At 48.5% G+C, this 24,742-nt stretch overlaps 2 long non-coding RNA genes across 2 annotated transcripts, besides 2 other annotated features; one reads left to right on the forward strand and one right to left on the reverse strand.

Moving 5' to 3' along the window:
- Positions 1-1,227: 1,227 nt before the first annotated feature.
- Positions 1,228-2,016, reverse strand: LINC02690 (long intergenic non-protein coding RNA 2690). Its single transcript, NR_183774.1, has 2 exons — positions 1,919-2,016; positions 1,228-1,616 (listed from the first exon to the last, which is right to left on the reverse strand). It is a non-coding gene; the product is annotated as a long intergenic non-protein coding RNA 2690 (long non-coding RNA).
- Positions 6,244-6,957: an enhancer, noted in NCBI's record as "H3K4me1 hESC enhancer chr11:45777387-45778100 (GRCh37/hg19 assembly coordinates)". NCBI's record gives its function as "activates a minimal SCP1, AML or CMV promoter by ChIP-STARR-seq in primed H9 embryonic stem cells {active_cell/tissue: H9 hESC(primed)}" and the evidence as "EXISTENCE:reporter gene assay evidence [ECO:0000049][PMID:30033119]".
- Positions 21,532-22,033: an enhancer, noted in NCBI's record as "H3K4me1 hESC enhancer chr11:45792675-45793176 (GRCh37/hg19 assembly coordinates)". NCBI's record gives its function as "activates a minimal SCP1, AML or CMV promoter by ChIP-STARR-seq in primed H9 embryonic stem cells {active_cell/tissue: H9 hESC(primed)}" and the evidence as "EXISTENCE:reporter gene assay evidence [ECO:0000049][PMID:30033119]".
- LINC02716 (long intergenic non-protein coding RNA 2716) lies at positions 21,840-22,766 on the forward strand. Its single transcript, NR_027134.1, has 2 exons — positions 21,840-22,122; positions 22,401-22,766. It is a non-coding gene; the product is annotated as a long intergenic non-protein coding RNA 2716 (long non-coding RNA).
- Positions 22,767-24,742: the final 1,976 nt, after the last annotated feature.

A 24,742-nucleotide genomic window follows, 5' to 3' on the forward strand; every position in this document is an offset into this window, starting at 1 on the left:
GTTAATTGGACACTCAGTTGCTCCCACCAGCTTATCTGCTACAGACCCCTGAGCATAAGCATCTGTCAGTCATTTCTTTGGGCTTGTTTAATTCCTCCAGTGAAAACACACTTCAATCTTTGCATGGGGTTAGTGCAGGATGCAGGCATAAGCCTGATTCTGGTACCCTGGAGGTGGGTGGGGAAGGAGGCTGGGAGCCTTTATTAGGACACCTCACCCCTTCTCTTCACACTTGGCATCTCTGAGACCAGGACCTCTGGTCTCTCGTGGGAGTAAGGAGGACAGTCACCTGGCTGCATAGGATGGAGTGGGACTTGGAAGTCTACTGCTCCTTACACAGACTTTCAAACTACCCCCTACCCCTATTCTCAGGTCCTGCCCCACTTCCTGTGATACCTGGTGCCTCTGATCCTGGACCCTTTCTGGGTCTCTGTAGAGAAAATCAGCTCATTTCTATAGTGCCTTCCCCACTGGTAAGTACAGAGGTTTGATGTTTCTCCTCTCTGCTGAGCGCTTTATCCTCCTCCAGCAGCTTCCCCCTCCACGTATTGAGATTCAAGAGTAGGGAGGTCTCCATGTTCCACCAAAGACGGAGTTCAGGCTTCTATTCCTGTTCTCCTGTGGTTTCTGTACAGTTTTCAGGAGGGGAAAGGAGTGGAAACCTTTCTTCTACTGTCTTAGAAAGTCTTGGGCAAAATCTGAAATGGGGGATAGGAGTTGACCAGGCAGATGAGGCAGCAAAGGGTATTCCTGCCAGAGGCAGCTATCTTCACAGGCAAAGAGGAATAAAGAGAGCCTCCTGCTGCATGGCTGCAAGCAGGGAGAAGCTAGAGCCTAGGCTAAGGAAGTGGATCCGGAAGGGCCTTCAATGGGCCAAGAAGTGTGTCCTTGATCCTGGAGCAAACGAGGAGTGGGAGGAGAGGAGCCCCTTGGCCACATCTGCCCTGGGGCAGCAGCATGGCAGAGGTGCCAGGGGAGCAGAGCGTGGGGGGCATGCGGGGGAACAGACACGCTGGGAGGAGAGAGTCCCCTAGGGATGTGAATGTGGGAACAGGAGGAGGAGTACTCTGAAAGCTGTCTCAGAGCTGGAACCAGCAGGACTTGTGACTAACAGGAACGGGGCATGAGGGCAGAGGGAGAAGTGTAGTTTGAATCAAGTTTCTGGTTTGGGCAACAGAGTAGGTGGCAAGGCTGTTGACAGAGATGAAGAAACACCGCGGGAGAAGGCAATGTGGGGAAAACTCTATTTGCATCTGTATTACATTCCTCCAAATTCCATCTCTGAGAAGTCCACGCTGGCATTATATATAGTCGCAGTCAATATCCACATAACATTGTGGTCCTGCTTTTTTCCCTTAGCAGTACGTTTCCAGGTGTCACCAGAATCCTCAACGTCTTCCTTTGATTTGGCCACAGAATATTCCATTGTGTTAATAAACATGCCGGTTTCACCTTCTTATCCCCATATTCTGGGCATTCTGAAGAGGACTGTGATGGACACCAAGTTGTTCTCAGTAGGGCCTGTGAGTGGCTCCATAGCCCAGGTCTCCTGCCTCCTCCAAGGCTGAGGACCCCCTGAGGGCAGCTCAGGGGTGCCGTTGCATCTGCTCTGCCATCTACAACAGGAAATGTTGAGGAAGAATGCTTGAGACCTCACAGTCCCTGTAACTCACTGATCCCCAAAACCACCCCTGAACCTCAGAGGAACTTGCTTCCCCCTCTGGTCCCCAGGCAACACTGATTCTCCCAAGCTAGGTCGGAGCAGGGAACCTCACTCTTCCTCCACCTGAGCCCTCTCCCCTTCCCAGTGGCCATGCTGTTTTCTGCCGTCACCCTCCCCAGTAATGGCCTCGCTCACATCTCCTCTCAAGAGGGTCCCAAGGTACATGGGTCAAGTGAAATCAGGGTTGCCCCAGACCTAAGAACAGTGGTGCCCCCAGAGGGAAGCTGGAGCCCTGTGGCAGAGGTGGAGGAAGAGGAGAGGACCAATCAGTTGTTATGGCAACCAGGGCTCCCAAGATGGAGGGAAGGGAAAAGGCGGCCCTGCTCATCAGTTGCCATGGCAACCCAGAGCCTCCAGGCCAGCTTTGAAAACAAAAACCACACACACCCCACTTAACAAAGAAAGTACCCAGGACTCCTCGGTATGCTCCGCAATCCAGAGCGCCAAACGGAACAGGTCAAGGTCTGGTCTCACGATTGACTTTGTAGACTTTTTTTAGGGGCAGAAGGGCTGCTTTTTTTCTGAGAAAATAGAGAGCCAGGGCTTGATAACCCGTAGGGTCACTCAGCAAGCATTTACTGAGCCTACTACATGCCAGGGCCACAGCGACAAATTAAGATCCAGACCCACTTTCAAAGGAGGAGAACAGATATTTCCACATCAGTACGAGACTTGCTGGAAGTCTTCCCTGACGACGGTTTGGCAGTGTTCATTAAAAATTTTAAGTGGATGTTCTCTGTGACCCAGCAATCCCATTTCTAAGACGCTGCCTGCAGAAATATTTGAATCTGAAGGTGATCTTTGCAGCATTATTTACAGCAGTAGATAATGGAAAACAACCTAAATGTCCCGTAATGGAGGCCAGTTACATCAATTTTGGTACATGCATACACGTTGAAAATGCAAAGGCGTACGGGCGGAAGAACACATAAGGAACCATTAGCAGCCATTACCCAGGAGTCGCAGGACTGACCAATAGGGTTAGAGAAGGGGGGCGTTTCACTTTACTTCTCAACCATTTGGAGATGTTACAAGAGTGCGCTTCCCTCCCGCCCCCAAGAGAGACGGGCTCTTGCTTTGTCACCCAAACTGGAGTGCAGTGGCACATCACGGCTCACTGCAGCCTTGACCTTCCAGGCTCAAGTAATCCTCCCCTCAGCCTCCTGAGTTCAGCCTCCTGAGTAGCTGGGACTATAGGTGTGTGCCACCTGCCCAGTTAATTTTTTGTATTTGTTTAGTTTTTTTGTTTTTGGGGGTTTTTTTTTCCTTTTTTTGAAATGAAGTATTACTCTGTCATCCAAGCTGGGGTGCAGTGGCACTATCTCGGCTCACTGCAACCCCCGCCTTTCGGGTTCAAGCAATTCTTGTGCCTCAGCCTCCTGAGTAGCTGGGATTACAGGTACCCGCCACCACGCCTGGCTAATTTTTGTATTTTTTAGTAGAGACAGGGTATCGCCATGTTGGCCAGGCTGGTCTTGAACTCCCAACCTCAGGTGATCCACCCGCCTGGGCCTCCCAAAGTGTTTTTGTATTTTTTGTAGAGACGGATTATCGCTATGTTGCCAGGGCTAGTCTTGAACTCCTAGCTTCAAGCGATCCTCCGCCTTGGCCTCCCGAAGTGCTGAGATTACAGGAGTGATCTACCGCGCCTGGTTTACTTTTATAACTTAAGGAAAATGCTAAATGTTTGGGATGATTGGTCATACAATGGGATTTATAGTGATGAAAATCAAGTACGTTAACTGGTTATGATACAATGCAAAAAAAAAAAAAAAAAAAAAACCAGCACAGGCCAGGCGCGGTGGCTCATACCTGTAATCCCGGCACTTTGGAAGGTCAAGGCGGGTGAATCACTTGAGGTCAGGATTTCGAGACCAGCCTGGCCAACATGGTGAAAACCCGTCTCTACTAAAAATACAAAAATTAGCTGGGCATGGTGGCCAGTGCCTGTAATCCCAGCTACTCGGGAGGCTGAGGCAGGAGAATCTCTCACACTCAGGAGATGGAGGTTGCAGTGAGCCTTGATTGTGCCACTGTACTCCAGCCTAGATGACAGAGCAAGACTGTGTCTCAAAAAAAAAAAAAAAAAAAAGCACAAAGGCACTTACAATAGGAGCATCAAGGGAGAAGAGGAGAAGTAAGATGGGTGGGAAGAAGTTAGGTCTTGCAGGTTGCAGAAAATGTCATCATCAGGAGAAGGAGGAAAGGCATTTTAGCTGAAGAAATGGCAAAAGCAAAGGCTAGGAAGAGTAAAACTTCCAGTACTCTAGAAAATCCCAAGTGGTCTCTGTGGCAGAGGTGAAGAGATGTGACACAGACCTTACACAGGAGCAGCAGGAAGCCATCCCAAGTTTGAAAGTAGGGAAAGGACATGAGGAGAGCAGAACCTACAAAGATTTCTCCAGGCAGACGTGAAGGAGAAGTACTAGAGTCCAGGAGACACCTTAGGAAGCTACTGTAATCACACAGGAGTGACACGAGGAGGACCCCACAGGAGGGTGGACGGAGGGGAGAGGGAATTACAAGAAGTATTTCATATGTAAATGGCAGGAGTTTATGATGTTTCTCAATCCATAGACTTACTTTCTAGAGCTAGATGAGGTTCCTCAGCTTACAGATGGGGAAACCGAGGCACAGCTAGGGGAAGTGAGGGTTTCCAGGACAATAGGTTTATGACTTGAAGTTTTCTCTGGGCCTCCTGGGAGAGGAGGCTCAATCCTTCCAAGATCTGACCTTTTTTAACTCTTAATTCAGACAATTCCCAACTGAGGGGGATGGGCAAAGGTGAGGCTGTGGCCCAAGAAACCCCTGCAGGAAGAAAAGAGGGAGGAAGAGGACGACCCCCTTTGGTATCTGGATGCTGAGAGTCCCACTCTGAGATCCCAGCCTCCTTAAAGAGAGCACTCTTGGTCCCAGACTCGAGCATGGCTGTCCTGCAGGGAGCTTGGGGCAGTGCTCAGGCCCTGGGAGGGGTGTCTGGTGGTGGGCAAGGTGCCACCACGAGCTGGTCCAGGAAGTGCCTCTGTCACGTGCGTGCCTCCCCAGTGTCCTGTCCCACACCTGGCACCATGGCAGCACTGGGACAAGCACAGCGCTGGACTCAGGAGTCAAGAGCCCTGGAATCTACTGCCTTTCTGTCCTGCCACTCAGCAAGCTGGCCTTGAGCTTGCCACTAGCACTCCCATGTGATAAGGCCCATGAAGGCATGAACTCACACTGAGGAATGCTATGCTAAACACGGCCCTCTTCCTGGAGAGGAAAATGGAAAAGCCCCAGGCGGGGGAGTATTATCACAAAACTGTCAGCATGTCTACATTTATCAGATTAGTTAAAAGAAGAGACAGGGCTGATCGTAATCATTCCCGAAATATGTGCAACTATTCAGCTTGCAACTACTCCCACACACAGGCCTCTCATTTGACTTTCAAAAATTAAAACAAAAACACTCAGGACAGGTGCTGCTATTCCATTTTACAGGAAGCAGGTTCTGAGAGATTCAGACTCAATCCATATGTATTAAGTGTCCATCTCACGCCAGCGCCTGGACAGAGGTACCAGCAGCTGCTAGAATACAGTTAGATCCGTTCGCACTGGTCCAAAAAGATACTCCATGAGAACAGGGTTACATGTCAAACAAGCTTAGGAAATACTCCAGACTTTATCCCTCCCGCTTCTGATGAATCGCTGTGCCTATTAAATTACTCAAGGCCCTGCCTGGGAAGTCCTGCTTAGCTCTGTTCAACATCTCTCCCAAGTACATGGCCATGGAACCGCCTTTTACACACAACTTCTTAACAGCCTGCAGAACTTGGGTTTTGTGGAACACATTCTTGCAAATGCTGACCTGAGCAGTAGAAACAGAGCACTGAAGATGGGATTTCAGACAATCAGATGAAGAATACATCCTGGGGCAGCATCTTGCCTCTGTCTATCAACTCACAGCAGAAGCATCTGCCTTTTCCTGGGCTTCGGAATACAGCGAGCTGATGGGGCCAAGTTCTGTGGGACTGTTAGTTGTAGTCTCAGCTGGCAAGTCAAGGACCAAGCCTCGGCTGCATCAGAGCTTGTCTGTGGCTCTGGACCCGTCGTTTTCAGGTGGGCGCAGGGTCAGGCATCTGGAACAGCCAAGACACAGATGTTCCAGCCACTCTTGGATCCCCGCCTGGGCTCCTGCCTTCCCTAATTCCAATATTTGGCTGCCGCTCTCGCCTAATTCATATTCCAATGTCAACACTGCATAATCTCCCCCAAACACTGACAGCCTTGGAGTGGGAAAGGGGAAGGGACAGCTGATGAGCAGGGGCGGTAGAGACCCAGGCAGAGGCAGAGGCAGAGGCAGAGGCAGAGGCGGAGGGAGCGTGGGGGGAGGAGATGGGCAGAAGACAGGAAGTTCCCCAAAGCCCTTAGCAGGCAGCACTCCCCCAGACTCTCAGCTGAGAGAAGAGGACCTCCAAGGAGTCCCAGAGGCACCCAGCCGCCACCCCGGGCAGTCAGTGCCACAAGACAGAGAAGGGAAACAGAGCCCCCACAGTGGTCAGGCTGGGCTGCCTGGGAGGGGAGTCTTGTATGCTATGCAGGAAAGAGAGCAAGACCGCCAGTCAGGACCCTTGGTCAAGCTCCAGCTCTGCCCCTAACTAGCTGTGTGACCTTAGGCAAGTCCCTCAACCTCTCTGGGCTTTATTTCATGTATTAAATGAAGAGTTACCCATCTCTGAGACCCACCAGCTCTAACATTTGGGAGGAGGCTGTAGAGCATCAGGAGGAAACAGCCCAAGTCTGAGTGTGAAGCTGGATCTGTCCTGGCTCTTCTACCTCATGGGACTCCAGCATCCTCATCTGTAAACTGGGAGTAATAATAGTGGCTACATAGCCAGAGCTTATTGGGATTAAATGAAACAGAGCATGTAAAGCACAGATTTCCCAGCTGGGCTGTGAAGGGTAGGAGCAGCTGGAACCAGCCTGAAGACCCCAGACTCACACTCACCGAGCACTTTCTCTCCCCGGCCCTGGCCATGCCTCGCTCCCCGCATCTTCACAGGAGCTCTGTGAGGGGGAGACTGTTACTAACCTGTATTACAGAAGAGGAAACTGAGGCTTGGTAACTGGCTCACGGTCACCCAGCTGGAGGATGACCAAGGTCTGTCTGATGGCAGGACCAGGGCTGGCTCAGGATCCCACGCTGTCTTTCCAAGCTTCCGGACTGGCTAAGGAGTGGGCCTGGCTGGGAGAGGGATCCGGTCCAGGGATGCAGAGCTGCTGAGTGCCCCTTGCTGCTGGCGACCGCCTGCACCTTCACACAGTCTCCGCGCTCCATAGGCTCCTGTGTCCATCCGGACTGGCCTCCGCCCCCATGCGCACCCCAGATCCCAGCCCTACCCCACCTACCCCCACCATGTCTGCCCTCACCACTCTTTCCTCCCACCCTCCCCCACACCCATTCCGAGGCAACTGTTCTCCCTGGTTCTCACTGCAAACTCTCAGGAATTCAGTGACCTCCACCGAAATTTTCCCCCAGGGCCACATCCAGGCCAAAGTCCCAAGGAGGGCTGCTGATAAATATGGGTGATATTTGCATGTGATTTGCATACACTTCTAAGGCCCTGGAAGGCAGCTTTTAAGAGAAGCATTATCCAGGCTATACCCTCCTTCTTATCTATTTCTTCACATTCCTTTGAGCCCAGCCCCCACACACACCCACCTCCTCTTGTCCCCACCCTACTCCACCCCTCCCTGCACTGGTCCCCCTTTCCTATTTCTCAATGTGTAACTAAGTAGGAAGAGCAAAAGTTTTAACAATAACAATTGCTGTTTATTGAGCAACTATCTGCCAGGCATGGCCCCTCACAACAGCCACCAAAGGAACTACTATTTGAGGGTGTCTGAGTGGACCCAGTATCCGTCTTCCCAGCCCCTGTTCAGAACCAAGTGAGATGAATTTCAGACTTGACTATTGGTGAAGGTGATTTCGGAGAATACATCTTAGGTCTGCGGTTTCCTAATACTGAACCCCAGAATAAGACAAAACGACTCACTCCCAGACTGCTGGACTTCGCCCCCAGAATCCAGCCTCCCCTCACAGAGACAGAGCTGGCCCCTGTAAAACTTGAGGTAGAGAAGAGCGTGGAGAGAAGGCTTGTCTCCGCAGGTGGGCAGAGCTCCAAAGAGAAGAGAAGGAAGGGGCTGCGCCGCACAGGCAGTGACTTGGTCCCAGGCGCACCAGTTAGGCCAGTCACCCCCTCCTCCCTGGGGAATATTGGGCTGGGCCCAGGCCAACCTTGTTAACAGATGACCCCTCTACAAGGACGGAAATATCAGGAGTGGATGGGAAGTGCTCCCCCTGTTTTACAGAGGTGAAAGCTGAGGTTACTTAACAGAGAGTTTACCTAACTTGCCCAGGGCCACTCAGTAGGGAATGGTGGGTGGGCACTGGAACCCAGAGCCTATGGTCTTTCACACCACCACGATTATGTCTCAGAGAAAAGCCCACAGTCCAGGGGAAGGGAACAGAGAAAGCGTGGGAAGAGGATGGAGGGAGGATGGAGGAGTGTGCAAACGTGGGTCAAGTGCAGCTGGGGGAAACCTACGGTCTCAGAGCCAGAGCACGGAGGCCTCTGGACACCATGGAGTCCAGGGACCCACTCTCACACGCCCACAGGGTAAAGCAGCCTGTAAGTGAGTGGGTGGCAGGGAAGACAATAGGGAGTGGTAAGGACTGTGGTGAACGGAACAGGGGCAGGCCCAGACCAACTCCAGGCTCTCCTGGTCATGCAGCAACACAGACTCAGAGTCACCAGATCTTCTGACTCTTCAAGAGATGCCAGAAATCATATTATGACTTGAAATCTCCCTATTTGTATATGTTGGCTCAATGCTTTAATAAAAGAACAAACTCTATTCAGGCAAGCAAAATGTCACTGCCTTTTGGCTTCAGCCCACTGGCACAACCAGCAACCTCAAAAAATGCAATCCCATCACCTCCCAAATGTGCTCACTGGAGTGTGAGCCGCTGAGCTCCAGGACTGGCTGCATCTTTGTCTCCTGCCATCTCCCCAGGCTGGCGTCCTATGTGCTCAGTCTCAGGGAACATCCATGGAAGCCTCTCCCAGAGCCAGCAGGTGGAGATCCAGGTCTCCTGACTCCTGGTTCAGTGCTCCTGCCACAAACTCACAGCTCATCTCACTGCTTTCAAGGAAGTGCTTGTTAAAAAATGCAGTTTCCTAGGCCAGGCACACTGGCTCACACCTGTAATCTCAGCACTTTAGGAGGCTGAGGCGAGTAGATCACTTGAGCTCAGGAGTTCAAGACCAGCCTGGGCAACATGGTGAAACCCTGTCTCTACAAAAATTAGCTGGCATGGTGGCATGTGCCTGTAGTCCCAGCTACTTAGGAGGGTGCGGTGGAAGGATGGCTTGAGCCCAGGAGGCGGAGGTTGCAGTGAGCCAAGATCGAGCCACTGCACTCCAGCCTGGGCAACAGAGCAAAATGCTGTCTAAATTAAAAAAAAAAAAATTTAAAAATGGGATTTCCTGCACCGCACTTCAGACCTAGAGTCAGAATCTTTGCAAGTGAAGGTTGGAAAACTGCATTTTTAACAAGCCATCCCAGGACATTCTTAAACATGCTAATGTGTGGAAATCATTGCAGGGAAGCTGATGACAAAGATGAAAAATGCATTGGCATAGGTCAGAATGCCAGCTCTGCCATGTCACCACCGGAAGACACTCTGAGCCTGTTTTCCCACCTGTTAAACAGACACAGCATCGGCCGGGCGCAGTGGCTCACACCTGTAATCCCAGCACTTTGGGAGGCCGAGGCGGGTGGATCACGAGGTCAGGAGATGGAGACCATCCTGACTAACACAGTGAAACCCCGTCTCTACTAAAAATACAAAAAAATTAGCCGGGCCTGGTGACGGGGGCCTGTAGTCCCAGCTACTCAGGAGGCTGAGGCAGGAGAATGGCATGAGCCCAGGAGGCAGAGCTTGTAGTGAGCCGAGGTTGCGCCCCTGCCCTCCAGCCTGGGTGACAGAGTGAGACTCCGTCTCAAAAAAATAATAATAATAATTAATAAATAAATAAATAATAACAAGACACAGCATCATCTGCCTCACAAGCCTGCCTTGAGGAGAAAATGAGGGCAGGTACACAAGAGTACTTTGTAAACTCTTAAGCAGTGATTTTTCAAACTACAATTCCCAGCCAATAAATGGGTCACAAGCTCAATTTAGTGGGATTTGACTGGCATTGTTTCCAGTGAGATAGAACGGAATAGAAAACAGAAAGAGTATATATTATTTCATGAAACTTATACACGTATGGGAATGCTAGGTAACAACACATGTTTTCTTCCTGTGAGTAGTGGTCAAAAACTTGTATTTAAAAATACACTGCTGGCCAGGCACGGTGGCTCACACCTGTAATCCCAGCACTTTGGGAGACCGAGGTGAGTGGATCGCTTGAGGTCAGGAGTTCAAGACCAGCCTGGCCAACATGGTGAAACCCTATCTCTATTAAAAATACAAAAATTAGGCTGGGCATGGTGGCTCACACCTGTAATCCCAGCACTTTGGGAGGCTGAGGTGGGCAGATCACCTGAGGTCAGGAGTTCGAGACCAGCCTGACCAACATGGAAAAACCCCCATCTCTACTAAAAATACAAAATTAACCAGGCATGGTAGGGCATGCCTGAAATCCCAGCTACTCAGGAGGCTGAGGCAGGACAATCGTTTGAACCCAGGAGGTGGAGGTTGCGGTGAGCCGAGATCATGCCATTGCACTCCAGCCTGGGCAACAAGAGTGAAACTCCATCTCAAAAAAAAAAAAAAAGAAAAAGAAAAAAAATTAGCCAGGCATGGTGACGCTCGACTGTGGTCCCAGCTACTCAGGAGGTTGAGGCATGAGAATCACTTGAACTCAGGAGGCAGAGGTTGCAGTGAGCCAAGATTGCGCCACTGCACTCCAGCCTGGGTGATAGAGTGAGACCCTATCTCAAAAAACAAAAAAAATGTACACCGCTCTAAACATAGGTGTAAATCTTCCTGACCTCGGATCAGGCAATGATTTCTTAGAAATTACACCCAAGCAAAAGCGACAAAAGAAAAAATAATCAATTGGACTTCACCAAAATTAAAAACTTTTGTGCATCAAAGAACATTATTAACCATTTTCCCGTTTAGAACAAAAGCTCAGCTCACTGCCAATGCTCACTTAAATTTATGTAAACATGCTCTTTGAGGCTGAAGCAAACCTGACTGATTTTCAATGTGAAAATAAAGTGTAAAAACTGTTCTTGGAGTTATTTCTAAACAGAACTAACATCAGAATCATCTGAATCATCAGAAGAGTCTATATCAGAAAAAATCGGATTCATCAAATGAATCTTCAGTCAACAACTGTCCGAGAATGAGGTTAACATCACATGTAAGAAAGCTACATTTTCTAGGATTTGACATTTTCAGCGATTGAGAATGACTATAATTTATAAATGGAAATACCACTGCTAAAACCAGCCTGCTATAAATAGAATAATGTCTTTTGTTTCCAATGTCAATTATACTGGAGCAATGCAAAAATAATAATAAAAGCAAGATCGTGGCCGGGCGCAGTGGCTCACGCCTGTAATCCCAGCACTTTGGGAGGCTGAGGTGGGCGGATCACAAGGTCAGGAGATCAAGACCATCCTGGCTAACACGGTGAAACCCCATCTCTACTAAAAATACAAAAAAATTAGCTGGCTGTGGTGGCGGGCACCTGTAGTCCCAGCTACTCGGGAGGCTGACACAGGAGAATGGCGTGAACCTGGGAGGTGGAGCTTGCAGTAAGCCGAGATTGCGACACTGCACTCCAACCTGGGCGACAGAGCAAGACTCCCGCTAAAAAAATGAATAAATAAATAAATAATAGCAAGATCGTTCATGGCAAATTATCTCAGGGTAAACCTGCAGCCAACAAGTGCCACTGGCGAGTATTCTCAAGGCAAACATCACAAAAGTGAAAGAGCAATCCACAAAATGGGAGAACATATTTGCGAGTCATATATCTTACCAAGGCCTAGTATTTAGAATATATAAAGAACTCTTTCAATTCTACAATTTTAAAACTCAGTTTTAGGCTGGGCGTGGTGGCTCATGCCTGTAATCCCAACATTTTGGGAGGCCGAGGAGGGTGGATCACCTGAGGTCAAGAGTCCGAGACCAGCCTGACCAATATGATGAAACCCCATCTCTACTAAAAATACAAAAATTAGCTGGGTGTGGTGGTGTGCGCCTGTAATCCCAGCTACTCAGGAGGCTGAGGCAGGAGAATTGCTTGAACCCAGGAGGCAGAGGTTGCAGTGAGCCAAGATCGCGCCACTGAACTCCAGGCTGGGCGACAGAGCAAGACTCCATCTAAAAAATAAATTTTAAAAAACCTCAAATTTAAAAATGGGCAAAAGACTCAAATAGATATTTCTCCAAAGAAGATATTCAAATGACCGGCAAACACAGGAAGAGATGGTCAACATCATTAGTCACCAGGGAAATGCAAATCAAAACCACTATGAGATATCACTTCACACCCACTAGTCTGGCTATACAGATGCTCCTCAGGTCCACTGAGCAAGGTGGCTCATGCCTGTAATACCAACACTTTGGAAGGCCGAGGCAGGAGGATCACTTGAGGCCAGGAGTTTGAGACCACCCTGGGCAATATATCGAGACCTCATTTCTACAAAAAATAAAAAATAAATAAAAATAAAAATTAGCCAGGCATAATGGTGCATGCCTGTAGTCCCAGCTACTCAGGAGGCTGAAGCGGGAGGATCACTTGAGCTCAGGAGTTTGAGATTACAGCAAGCTATGACTACACCAGTGCACTCCGGCCTGGGCAATAGAGCTGGACCCTGGCTCTTAAAAAAAGAAAAGAAAAGATGCTCCTTAACTTACAATAGAGTTGCATCCCAATAAACCCATCATAAGTGGAAAATGCACTTAATACATTTTAAAATAATTTAATAAGTCAAAAATGCATTTAATACACCTAACCCACCAAACATCATAGCTTAGCCTAGTCTACCTAAAATGTGCTCAGAACACTTACATTAACCTACAGTTGGGCGAAATCATCTCATGCAAAGCCTATTTTCTAATAAATTGTTGAATAGCCCATGTAATTTATTGACTAGTATACTGAAAGTGAAAAACGAAATGATTGCACGGGTTCTGGAAGTATGTTTCTACTGCATAGCTGTTGCTTTTGCACCATCGCAAAGTCATTAAGTCAAATCACTGTAAGTCGGGGACTGTCTGTAATCAAAAAGACAAACAATAACAAGTGTTTGAGAGGATCTGTATAAGGATTTTGTCAAAATTCTTATACATCGCTGGTGGGAACGTAAAATGGTACAGCCATTTTGTCAATTTTTCCAAAAGTGAAACATAAAGTTACCACATGACCCAGTCACCCTCCTAGGTACCTACTCATGATACATTAAAAAATACCTTCATACAGAAGCTCATACACCAAGGTTCACAGCAGCCTTACTCATAATAGTCAAAAGATGTAAACAACTCAAATGTCCACCAACTGATGTATGGGTAAACAAAATGTGATCTAGCATATGATATGGTTTGGAGGTCTGTCCCCTCCAAATCTCATGTTGAAATGTGACCGCCAATGTTAGAGGTGGGCTGGTCATGGTGGCTCACGCCTGTAATCCCAGCACTTTGGGAGGCCAAGGCTGGCAGATCACCTGAGGTCAGGAGTTCGAGATCAGCCTAGCCAATATGGTGAAACCCGATCTCTACTAAAAATACAAAAATTAGCCAGGCATTGTGGCAGGTGCCTGTAGTCCCAGGTACTGAGGAGGCTAAGGCAAGAGAATCACTTGTAACTGGGAGGCGGAGGTGGCAATGATCCAAGATCACACAACTGCACTCCAGCCTGGGTGACAAGAGCGAGACTTCATTTCAAAAATATATATATATAATGTTGGAGGTGAAATCTGGTGGGAGGTGTTTGAATCATGGGGGCGAGTCCCTCATAAATGGCCCAGTGCCATTCCCGTGGTAATAAGTGAGTTTTCTCTTTGGTAGTTCACGTGAGACCTGGTTGTTTAAAGAGCATGGCACCTTCCGCTTCTCTCTCCATCCAGCTCTGGCCATGAGATACAGTGGCCCCCGCTTCGCCTTTGGTCATGATTGAAAGCTCCCTGAGGCCTCCCCAGACGCTGAGCAGATGATGATGCCATGCTTGTACAGCCTGCAGAACCGTGAGCCAAACAAACCTCTTCTCTTTATAAATTGCCCAGTCTCACATATTTATTTATTTTAGTAATGCAGGAACAAACTAAGAGACACATACAATGTGATATTATTCAGCCATTAAAAGGAAGGAAGTGCTGATACACACTACAACATGGATGAACCTTGAAAACATTATGCTAAACCAAAGAATCCAGTCACCAAAGGCCACATATCACAGGATCCCATTTATGTGAAATGTCCAGAGTAGGCAAATCCATAAAGGCAGAAAACAGATCACTGGTTGCCTGGGCTAGAGGCAGTGGGTAATGGGCAGTGATTACTAACGGGCATGGGGGTTCTTTTGGGGGCAATCAAAATGTTCTGACAGTAAATAATGGTGATAGTTACACAACAATGTAAATATACCAAAAGCCACTGAATAGGACACTGTAAAAGAGTGAATTCTATGTGAATTATGTCTTGAAAAAAATACACTGTTCTAAAATATTGTACATGTGGAATTTATTTGTGCTAAAGAAGATGAGGCAGGGGCCAGGCACAGTGGCTTATGCCTGCAATCCCAGCACTTCAGGAGGCTGAGGCAGGTGGATCACTTGAGGTCAGGAGTTCGAGACCAGCCTGGCTAACATGGCAAAAACCCATCCCTACTAAAAAATGCAAAAATTAGCCTGGCATGGTGAAGCATGCCTGTAGTCCCAGCTACTCAGGACGCTGAGGCAGGAGAATTGCTTGAACCCAGGAGGTGGAGGTTGTAGTGAGCTGAGATCGCGCCACTGCACTCCAGCCTGGGCAACAGAGTGAGACTCCATCTCAAAAAAAAAAAAAAGAAGAAGATGATGAGGCAGGGAATAAAATAAGTGAGAAGGAGGGTGCTGAGCTTGTAAAGCAGCTGTAGAGTTGCAGGGGGCTTTGCTTCCCCTGAATCTGCGCTTGCACAGCCTGACCAAAGGCAAGCCATATGAATGAACGGATGGATGGACAAATGAGGTCCATATACCGAGGGTGGTAGTGTTACCAAGTGCAGTCTCATAGAGGGGCAATTTGGCAATATTGAAGAAAAACTAAAAATGCTCATACCTCTTGCCTCGGACTTTCTATTTGGGGGACTATAGCCTTCAAAATGACTCTCAAAAGCAAGTAGCAATAAATACAAGTACATTCATTGCAACATTGTTTGTAGTTGAGGGGAAATTGATAAATATTACCCAGCAACTGAGAAATGATTAAGTAATAATCAGGATATAGTCAGACAGTGGACAACTCGGCAAATCTAGGATCTGAGAGTTAGTATTAAGTGGAAGAAAAGTTATGCAAACAGCATGGATGGGGAAGAAAGGATAACTTTTTCAGGACAGAAGAATTCCAACTAATAAACTGGATAGCCTCAAAGTATCTCCACCCAAAGTATCTCCAGATGCTTATTAATTGCAAAGAGAATAGTCAGTTGAGTCCGTTGACAGTGGAGAAACCCAGAAGATGCCACCTTAACCAAGTGATCCAGGTTAACATCACCAGTAACATCACCAGACATATGGCCACCACGCAACCCCTGAGAAAGACACATTACTTCTGCGGCTGCTCGTAACTAAAATGCGTAATCTCAGTCTAATTATGAAAAAGCAACAGACAACCCAAATAGAGGACTATCCTACAAAATAAGTGACAAATACTCTTCCAAAGTGTCAAGGTCATGAGAGACAGAGAAGGGCTGAGGAGCTGTCCCAGCCTGTGGGAGACTAAGGAGGCCTGTCAACTAAATGCAGTGTGAATCCTGGGCTGCATCCTGGAGCCAAAACAAAGCTATTAATAGAAAAACCGGGGAAATCTGAACGAAAGTCTGTAGGTTAGTTAGTAGTAGTGTGTCAATGTCAATTTCTTGGTTATGATCATTGTATTATGGTTACGCAAGACAGTAACATTAGGGAAAGCTAAGTGAAGGATATTAAAGGAACTCCGTACTATTTTTGCAATTTTTTAGTAAGTCTGAAATTATTCCAAAATAAGAAACATTTTGAACAGAATGGATTTTATCATCTTAATTTAATCTGGTGAGCATTAGCTAGTTATCTTCAGTACCGGGTTGAATCACATTCCCCCAAAATGTTCATCTGGAATTTCAGCATGTGACCTGGTTTGGAAATGGGTTCTTTGCAGATGTCATTAGTTAAATTAAGATGGAGTCATATTGGATTAGGGTGGCCACTAAATCCAATGACAGGTATTTTTGTAAGAAGGCCATGTGGGCTGACCACAGTGGCTTGGTGGGGCATGGTGGCTCACGCCTGTAATCCCAGCATTCTGGGAGTCCGAGGCAGGCAATCACTTGAGTCTAGGAGTTCAAGACCAGCCTGGGCAACATGGCAAAACCCCATCTCTACAAAAAATACAAAAAAAAAAGAAATGAGTTGTTTGTGTTGGCATGTGTCATACACCATGTGACAACAGAAGGAGAGATTGGAGTGATGTGGCTACAAGCCAAGGAACACCAAGTGCTTCTGGCAACCACTGTAAGCTGGGCGAGGTATGGAGCCGATTCTCCCCCAGAAGCTCCAGAAGGAACCAACCTTGCCCCACCTTGTCTGAATTCTAGCCTCAAAAAATGTGAGAGAATAGGCTGGGCACAGTGGCTCATGCCTGTAATCCCAGCATTTTGGGAGGCTGAAGCAGGAAGATCTCTTGAGGTCAGGAGTTCGAGACCAGCCTGGCCAACATGGTGAAACCCTGTCTCTACTGAAAATACAAAAATTAGCCGGGCATGGTGGTGGGAGCCTGTAATCCCAGCTACTCAGGAGGCTAAGGCAGGAGAATCGCTTGAACCCGGGAGGCGGAGGTTGCAGTGAGCTGAGATCAATCTACTGCACTCCAGTCTGGGCGACAAAGCAAGACTTCATCTAAAAAAAAAAAAAAGTGAGAGAATAAATGTTTGTTGCTTTAAGCCCCCACGTTTGTGATGCTGTTTTACAGCAGCAATAGGGAACTCCTGCGTCTTCCCAGCCAGCATCCCCAACACCTCTCCTCAGGCCAAGCCCTATTTCTCTTGAGGCTCTGTGCTGTTCAGTGACACTAACCTGCCCCCCAGCCAGCCAGCCTTGGCCCATCAGCACATTCTGTCTCCAGCCTCTGAGATTGGTGCAGGGACGGTATGTGACCTGACCTGAGGCCATGAGACCTGAGACATTTGCTGCCAGCTCCTGAGAAAGAAGCTTCCTCGCTTCCAGAACAAACACTCTCTCTCCTGTTAGACCCGAACAAGGACGCCATCGTGCTCCAATGAGGGTCTGAGAATACATGGATAAGCAGACTGTTTCTCCCACTATACACTCACAGTGGGCTTCTTACACCAGATGGGTGTTTGGGGAGGCGTTCCCACATAGTAAGCAAGCAATCAATTACGCAGCAGACACCAGTTCGGTGTCCTCTAATTCAGTTCACTTCCCCACCTGGAGATAGCGTCAGGTTCCACAGGCTAAGGACTCAGTCCCCAAGATGCTCCCCTTCTCCCGATGCCAATCACAAGTCCCAGAGTATTTTAGCTGTGCTTCTGACCAACTGACTATAATTGAGGTTCCCACAATCCCCTCATTGGTTGGATTAATTTGCTAGAGCAGCTCACAGAACTCAGGGAAACACGTTGACTCACTTATTATAAAGGATACCACAGAGGACACAGATGGGCAATGCATAGGGCAAGGTATGGGGGAGCAGAGCGCCATCCTCCAGGAGCCCCGTGTGTCCAGCTGTCCAGAAGCTCTCCAGACCCTGTCCTTCAGGGTTTTTATGGAGGCTTCATTACACAGGCGTGATTGATTAAGCCATCGGCCATTGGTGATCAACGTAACTTCCAGCCCCTCTCCCCTCTAAGAGAGAATGGGAGTGGGGCTGAAAGCCCCAGTCCTCTAATCCTGCCTTGAACTTTCTGGAGTAGCCCCCATCCTCAAGCTACCTAGGGGCTGCCAGCCAACTGTCAACTCATTAGCATACAAAAAGACACTTACCACTTTGGAGATTCCATAGATTTTAGGAGTAACATGCCAGGAAATGTGGACAACAACTCAATATGTATTTTACGATATCACAAAGGGGAGCCAGCCTCCAGATGAAACCAGCAAAATGGGACCCAGAGTGGAGAGACAAGGACACTGGTCCAGGGGCTACTGATTCAAGCCTCACCTGAAACCCACATCACCTCCAGACTTCTGAGCTATGTGAGCCGCTAATTCCTTCTTGGGTTTAAGCCAGCGAAGTTTCAGCTCTCTACTCCTTGAGACTGAAAGAGTTGACTAACTCCTGTGAGGCTGGATCCATGAAAACAAAGGCTGTCATCATGATCAGGGCTCTCATCCTATCTCAGCTCCATTTCCCTCTGGGTTGGTTTTGCCCTTAGGCAGGCCCTGCTTTCCTAGTGACAAGATAACACCTAAAATCCAAATTCAGCTTAGCAATCCCCCTGGAAAGAAAGTATGTCTTTTATACCAGTCAGGTGTCTGCTGCACCAATGCCATGCAACAAGCACTCTGAAAATCTCAGTTGCTTATAACAACCATTCCTTTCATACTCATGGGTCTGCAGGTTAGTTGGGGGGTTGTTAATATCAGAGTTAGGCTGGACTCCAGTCTCTGGTTAGGTTCAATTTGCCCCACAGTCTCCATCCTGGACTCCAGATGAAGGTGCCATGGTCGCCTGGGTGTACCTTCCTTTCTCATGGTGGGCAGGAGCTCTAGAGGGGCAAGCGGAAACACAAGATACTTCTTTAAGGCCTAGCTTGGAACCCACACATCATCACTTCTACCGACATTCCATTGACCAAAGCAAGTCAGTGGCTGAGCTCACCATGGATGGTGTGGGGAAGAATATTCACCCACAGTGAACCATGCAAGGGAGGGAGGGAATGAAGAAGCCTCAGCAAAACTCCATCAAACACGTCTTCCTCAACAGTGCCTCAAAGATCTTGGAACTGACTCATTGGCCTGGCCTGGGGTCAATGCCTGAGGGAGGTAGGAGTAAGGGTACAGCTAGGGGTCTCCCATATGGGAAGAAGGGTTATTTCCCAAATGGAAGTCAAGGTGTTGCTGACACAAGAAAGGGCAATGGATCCCACATAGGCAATGAATAAATAATTACATAAACCAGCACTCAGCAAACGGCAACGTGAAAATAAATCACCTGAGATGCTATTACAATGCAGATTCTGAGAGCCAGGCATGGTGGCTCCGACTGTAGTCCCAGCTACTAGGGAGGCTGAGGCTGGAGGATCTCTCAAGCCCAGGAGTTCGAGGCTGCAGCAAGCCACAATCGCACCACTGCACTCCAGCCTGGAAGACAGAGCAAAATCTCATCTCTTTAAAGAAAAAAAATTCATTTAATAAAAAATAATGCAGCTTCTGATTCAGTAGGTCCAGGGTGGGGCCTGAGATGCTGCATTTCTTTTTTTTTTTTTTTTTTTTTGAGACGGAGTCTTGCTCTGTCACGCAGGCTGGAGTACAGTGGCGTGATCTCGGCTCAGTGCAACCTCCGCCTCCCAGGTTCAGCAATTCTCCTACCTCAGCCTCCTGAGTAGCTGGGATTACAGGCACGCACCACCATGCCCAGCTAATTTTTAGAGACGGGGTTTCACCATGTTGGTCAGGCTGGTCTCAAACTCCTGATCTCATGATCCACACGCCTTGGCCTCCCAAAGTGCTGGGATTACAAGCGTGAGCCACCGAGCCCAGCTGAGATGCTGCACGTCTAAACAGTCCCAGATGATGCTAGCAAGGACCAGTAGCAATGAGCAAGACTGAAATTGGGAGAGTCTCTCAGCCTTCTGATGCCACATTCTCATTTACAAAATGATAATTCCACCTGCCACACAGACTTTTCTCAGCCAGGAAGATGGTGCCCTCGGGGGGATAAGGTGATGCGACATTTGTGCTGTCACTCACCTCCTGCCTGCCCCCTGCACCTCGAGGCCTCCCTCAGCCCCCAGGAAAGGACTCACAGCCCAGCCAGCAAGGAGACAGGAGGAAGATATCACAAAGTGAGTGCAGCTTCTGTTAACTGCCTTAAGCTGCTCCCTGCAATAATGTTGGTGTAATCCATAAGATTCAATTATGGTTATCAGACAATTAGGCACACCACAGCGAGGTTATTGCATAATTAATGCTCAGTCCCCATCTCAGCCTCTGAGAGTGACACAGGTTACAAGATTCACCTGCCCCGCATCTGGGAGAGGAGCAGGGGCACCCAGGATGGGGAATGACCTCCCTGTGGGCTCAGAGGAGGATGTTCTTAGGACCCCAGAGGCATGGCAAAGGGACAGTGTGTGGCTGAAAGAGCTTGAGTCAGTGTGTGCCCAGGGCCCTCACGCCTGCCATTGTGTTTAGGACTTGGGCTTTAATCTCTGGAGCGAGATTCAAATCCTGCCTCAACTACTGATTGGCTATATGGCATTAAGCACTCGCCTTACATTTTTAAAGCCTCCATCTCCTTGTCTTTTAAAGAAGGGAATTGATGATGTTATGAAAACTGGATGAGAGAGTTTGCATATTGGTTAGATGGTTCCTGCAGTACTATTTTCATTATTTCCCTCTCTGAGCCTCAGTGTCTTCATCTGTAAAATGGGAATAATTAGCCTCACCTTGCCTAGGCTTGAAAGATCAGCCGGTAGTTTGAGACCTGCCTGGGCAATATAGCAAGACCCTGTTCACCACAAAAAAGGAAAAAAAAAAGGATGAAAGATCAGTTTGTGAGTCAAGTAAGACACACATGTGAACGGGATGTGTGGAGTGCTTTGCTAACGCGCCATTGTCTTAGTTACTATGTGCCTGGTTTTCTGCTCAACCCTCCAGGGTACGACTTTGTACAAGTCCCCAGGTCTCAACAGGACAGTGGGTGATCAGCCCACCTGAGAAGTGAAACTCATGATTTGGGTGAGTAGACTAGAGGAGAATCACTTCTTTCTTTCTTTTTTTTTAGACGGAGTCTCGCTGTGTCACCCAGGGATCTCAGCTCACTGCAACCTCTGCCTCACCGGTTCCAGTGATTCTCCTGCCTCAGCCCCCCGAGTAGCTGGGATTACAGGCACACGCCACCACACCTGGCTAATTTGTTATTATTAGTAGAAACGGGGTTTCACCATGTTAGCCAGGCTGGTCTTGAACTCTTGACCTCAGACGATCCACCTGCCTCAGCCTCCCAAAGTGCTGGGATTACAGGCATGAGCCACCATGCCCGGCCTGAGAATCATTTCTTGAGCTATGATCTGTAACATTCAAATGAGCCTCAACGGACACAAAACAGAAAAATCATCAAAAATGTCGGTGAAAAGTTCAGGTGGGAGAACTCAGGTGATGGTGCAGACAGAAGCAAGTAGGGGAGAAAGCTGGCTTCAGGGAGAGTGGTTAGGCCTTTGTGAGAAAGACTGGGGACTTCTCATATCATCCTCTGTGTCCCAGTTCCCAAAACACACACGCACATGGGCACATGCATGCAGGCACACAAAAACAAGCCCATACACCAGACGAAAAAATACAGATGCAGGTACACACACATGGACATGGACATGTGTGTGCCTGTGCCCATATAAACAAACATTAGTGCACACACACACTCACACACACACAGGCTCGGGCAGTATGTGCTCACACACAACCATACACACAGATACGCACAGAGGTACATTCACACACAGACCAACACACACAGGCACACAGATGCATGCACGCATGCACGTGCGCGCACACACACACACACGTGCACCCACCCTCAGTGATAACCTTCCAATCCACTGGCCTCTCCGAAATTAGCACAGACCATTTTCCCACGACCCTTTCTCGCTGAGCGTGTGATTCCAAAACTGTCCACAAGAAGGTGCTCGGGAGCCAGAATTCAGGCGTTCCCGGCCCGCGGACGCTTAGAGAGGGGAGCTTCGGAGTTATGGGGGGACCCACCCTTCCATTTAATAACTGAGAAAGCCACGGGAGGGGACTTGCTGGGCTCACAGCCAGTGATCCCTGCCCTGTTTCCTTATGGGGACTGCGGTCAGAAATGGGGAGTGGGGCAGAAACTGTCACTGTCACGGTCCTGTTTAGAGAGGAAGGTCGGAGAAACCAGTGCCGTGGAAGGCTCTGGGGCGTTGACAGGCGCTGTCCCCAGCTCACCGGCTCTATGACCCTGGGTAAGTTACCTGGCTTCTCTGTTCCTCAGTTTTCTCGTCTTCCCTGACCCAGGCTTTCCCGACTCCTCTAGGGGCCCCTTCCCCTCTCCATGAACACCTTCAGATCTCGGACTGTTTTCTCCACTCAAGTGGCATCTCAGCTATCCCCTCCCGGGTTAGGCCTCCCTGGCCCCTATTTAACGGTGTCCCCACCCCCACCACTATCTTGTTTGTACCAACACTTGCTGCCTGACAATGCACACTTGTTCATTTGTTCACGTTTATTTTGTCTTCTCCAGAAGAATGGAAACTTCGTCAGAGCAGGGACGTGAGGGTGAACTGCTCACCCGGGCACCGCTGGCGACCGGAACCCAGCTCCCTCCGGGCTCCGGGAGAGGCGGCCTCAGCTGTGTGCTGGTGCTGCCCTCCAGCGGCGCTGGGTCCCCATGGCACCTGGCTTTCTCCTGCTCCCCAGGGGCCTTTTCTTCTCCCGCCCACCTGTCACCAGCCGCCAGGGCAAGTCTCTGTGTGACTCTAGGGTGAAGGTGGAGGGACCTTGCCTCCGAGGATTCATCCCACCCGGATTCCGATGAGTGAGGGACCCTCTCTGGCACCTGGTGTTTGAATGGCCAGCCTCACAGTTAATAAAGACAAGTTTGGTATCAGCTGTGGGATCCGTCCAGAAAAAGACACCTTTGGGGCAGAAATATAATGGTGCCTGTCTCGACATAGTCTAATAAGGAAAGAAAGACAAGCCAGTCCAACGGTCCCATTTTACACATGAGGTCACTTCATCCCCACCTAGGACAGGAGGGTACAACGGCCTGGCCTAAGATAACCCTAGAATATGGTCACTCATTCTTCCACCCACTGAGAACCTCAGGGCAGTAGAGTTTTATGCAAAGCATGTGGTCCTGAAAAACTTGCATAATTCAAAGCGTGCATAATTTCTGACTAATTTTGCCAGAGAAATGAATGCAAAGTAGAAAGGATAGGTTGCATACATTACTCCAATTGTGGCATATTTTTGCCTTAATGCTGCTTTTTATTTCCCTGGCATTATCGCTAATATTTCATAACGCACTCTCTGCTAAATTAACAGTGCAGCATTTCCTGCCGGTGGTTTGGCCTTCTTCATAACGTTTTATCACATCTCACTTCCTTTCCAATGTTATCGATTTTCAGGTGCGTTTTTCAGCACCACCACTTAAAGAACACTTGGATGACATTGTTACAGGATATGGGTAAAATATTTAAAGTTATAATAACTGTGAACATTGAGAAAATGGCACACCAGTCACCAGAATCTCCTGCAGAAATTAGAAATTCAGAGGCATGTAAACAACAGTGCATGCATATAGAAAGCAGGTATTTCTATTTAATAACCAAAGCAACGTCGCCATGTGGCAGGTTTACAGTCCTCATTTAACAGCTCACTTAGTTCCTCCGACTCAAGGAAACTGCAATTCTTGACAGGTTTTTTTTTAACTGAGGGGCTTGGCATTATTTCCAGCTTAGTGCATAAACATGTATTAGCATTTTTATATTGCACCTTGCCAAAGTCACAGTTTAGACTCCCATAAACAGTGACTTCACCCTAAATGGTCACCCTAAATGGTTAAGGCTGTGTCCTTAACCCCAGAAGGGTGGAAATGTATGACTCCACCTAGTCATCTCAGATACGGATTTCAGAAATCTCAGCCACCCACCTCATACTTACACAGGGACCTTTTTGGAGGCAGCATCATCTGAGGCCGCTCTTGCCCAATTTGGCTGGCCCCACCTCCTCCCCAACGTCATCTTCTCTTGCAGTCTAGAGAGGGGGGCTACTCCCCCAATATAGCATCCATATTTAGATCCATGTTGGAGGGTGGGTAGAAAGGGGAGGTAGGATGAGGGAAAATTGAGTCTCAGTTTCACACATTTGTAAGATCGTCAGACTTTCCACATTGCCAAGAAACTCGTCAGCACAACCGCTGTGAATTGGCTTCTTGGCCTTCGTCTGCCCAGAATTGCTTCCAGAATGGCTCCTTCAGCTTGGCCTGAGCTTGGCCCCAGAAAGAGTGCCACGGGCCCTAGGAAGGAGGAAAAGTGGGGCATTCAGGGCAGGCTCTGAACCCACTTGGATTCCAGTCCTGATTCCATTTGCATGTGACCTTGAGCAAGTCTCTATGCAAGGCACTTCACCTTTCTGGGCCTCAGTTTCCACCTCTGTCAAATGGGGATAATAATACCATCTACTTCCCAGAATTGGTGCCAGAATGAAAAGCAGTCCCTGCTGTGATAGTGTCTAGAACAGAGTAAGTGCCCAATAAATATTCCTTCGCTCTTGTTGCAGTTAGAAAAGCGACTGGATGAGGCGTACATTTACTGGTACCCTGGGATGTATAAGGGCCAGTGTCCGGGTGAGGCGATCCTGCCCCTCGGAGAATTTATGGTCCAACTTTGGAGAGTGAACCTGCCCTCCCACTAATTCAAGAATTCACCAGCCAGGAGAACTGCATGTGGAATTGCCCGGTCCAGCCCTGACTTTGCGCAAGTGTCCATCAAGTCTCCTTCTGCCTCTGGGCTGCCTCTGAGACTTGAGGGGGAGTAAACAGGAGCCTAGGGGTCTCTCCACCCTCCAGGTGCCCCATCAGGC

Source organism: Homo sapiens, chromosome 11 (genome assembly GCF_000001405.40).
Source record: "Homo sapiens chromosome 11, GRCh38.p14 Primary Assembly".
Taxonomy (NCBI): domain Eukaryota; kingdom Metazoa; phylum Chordata; class Mammalia; order Primates; family Hominidae; genus Homo; species Homo sapiens.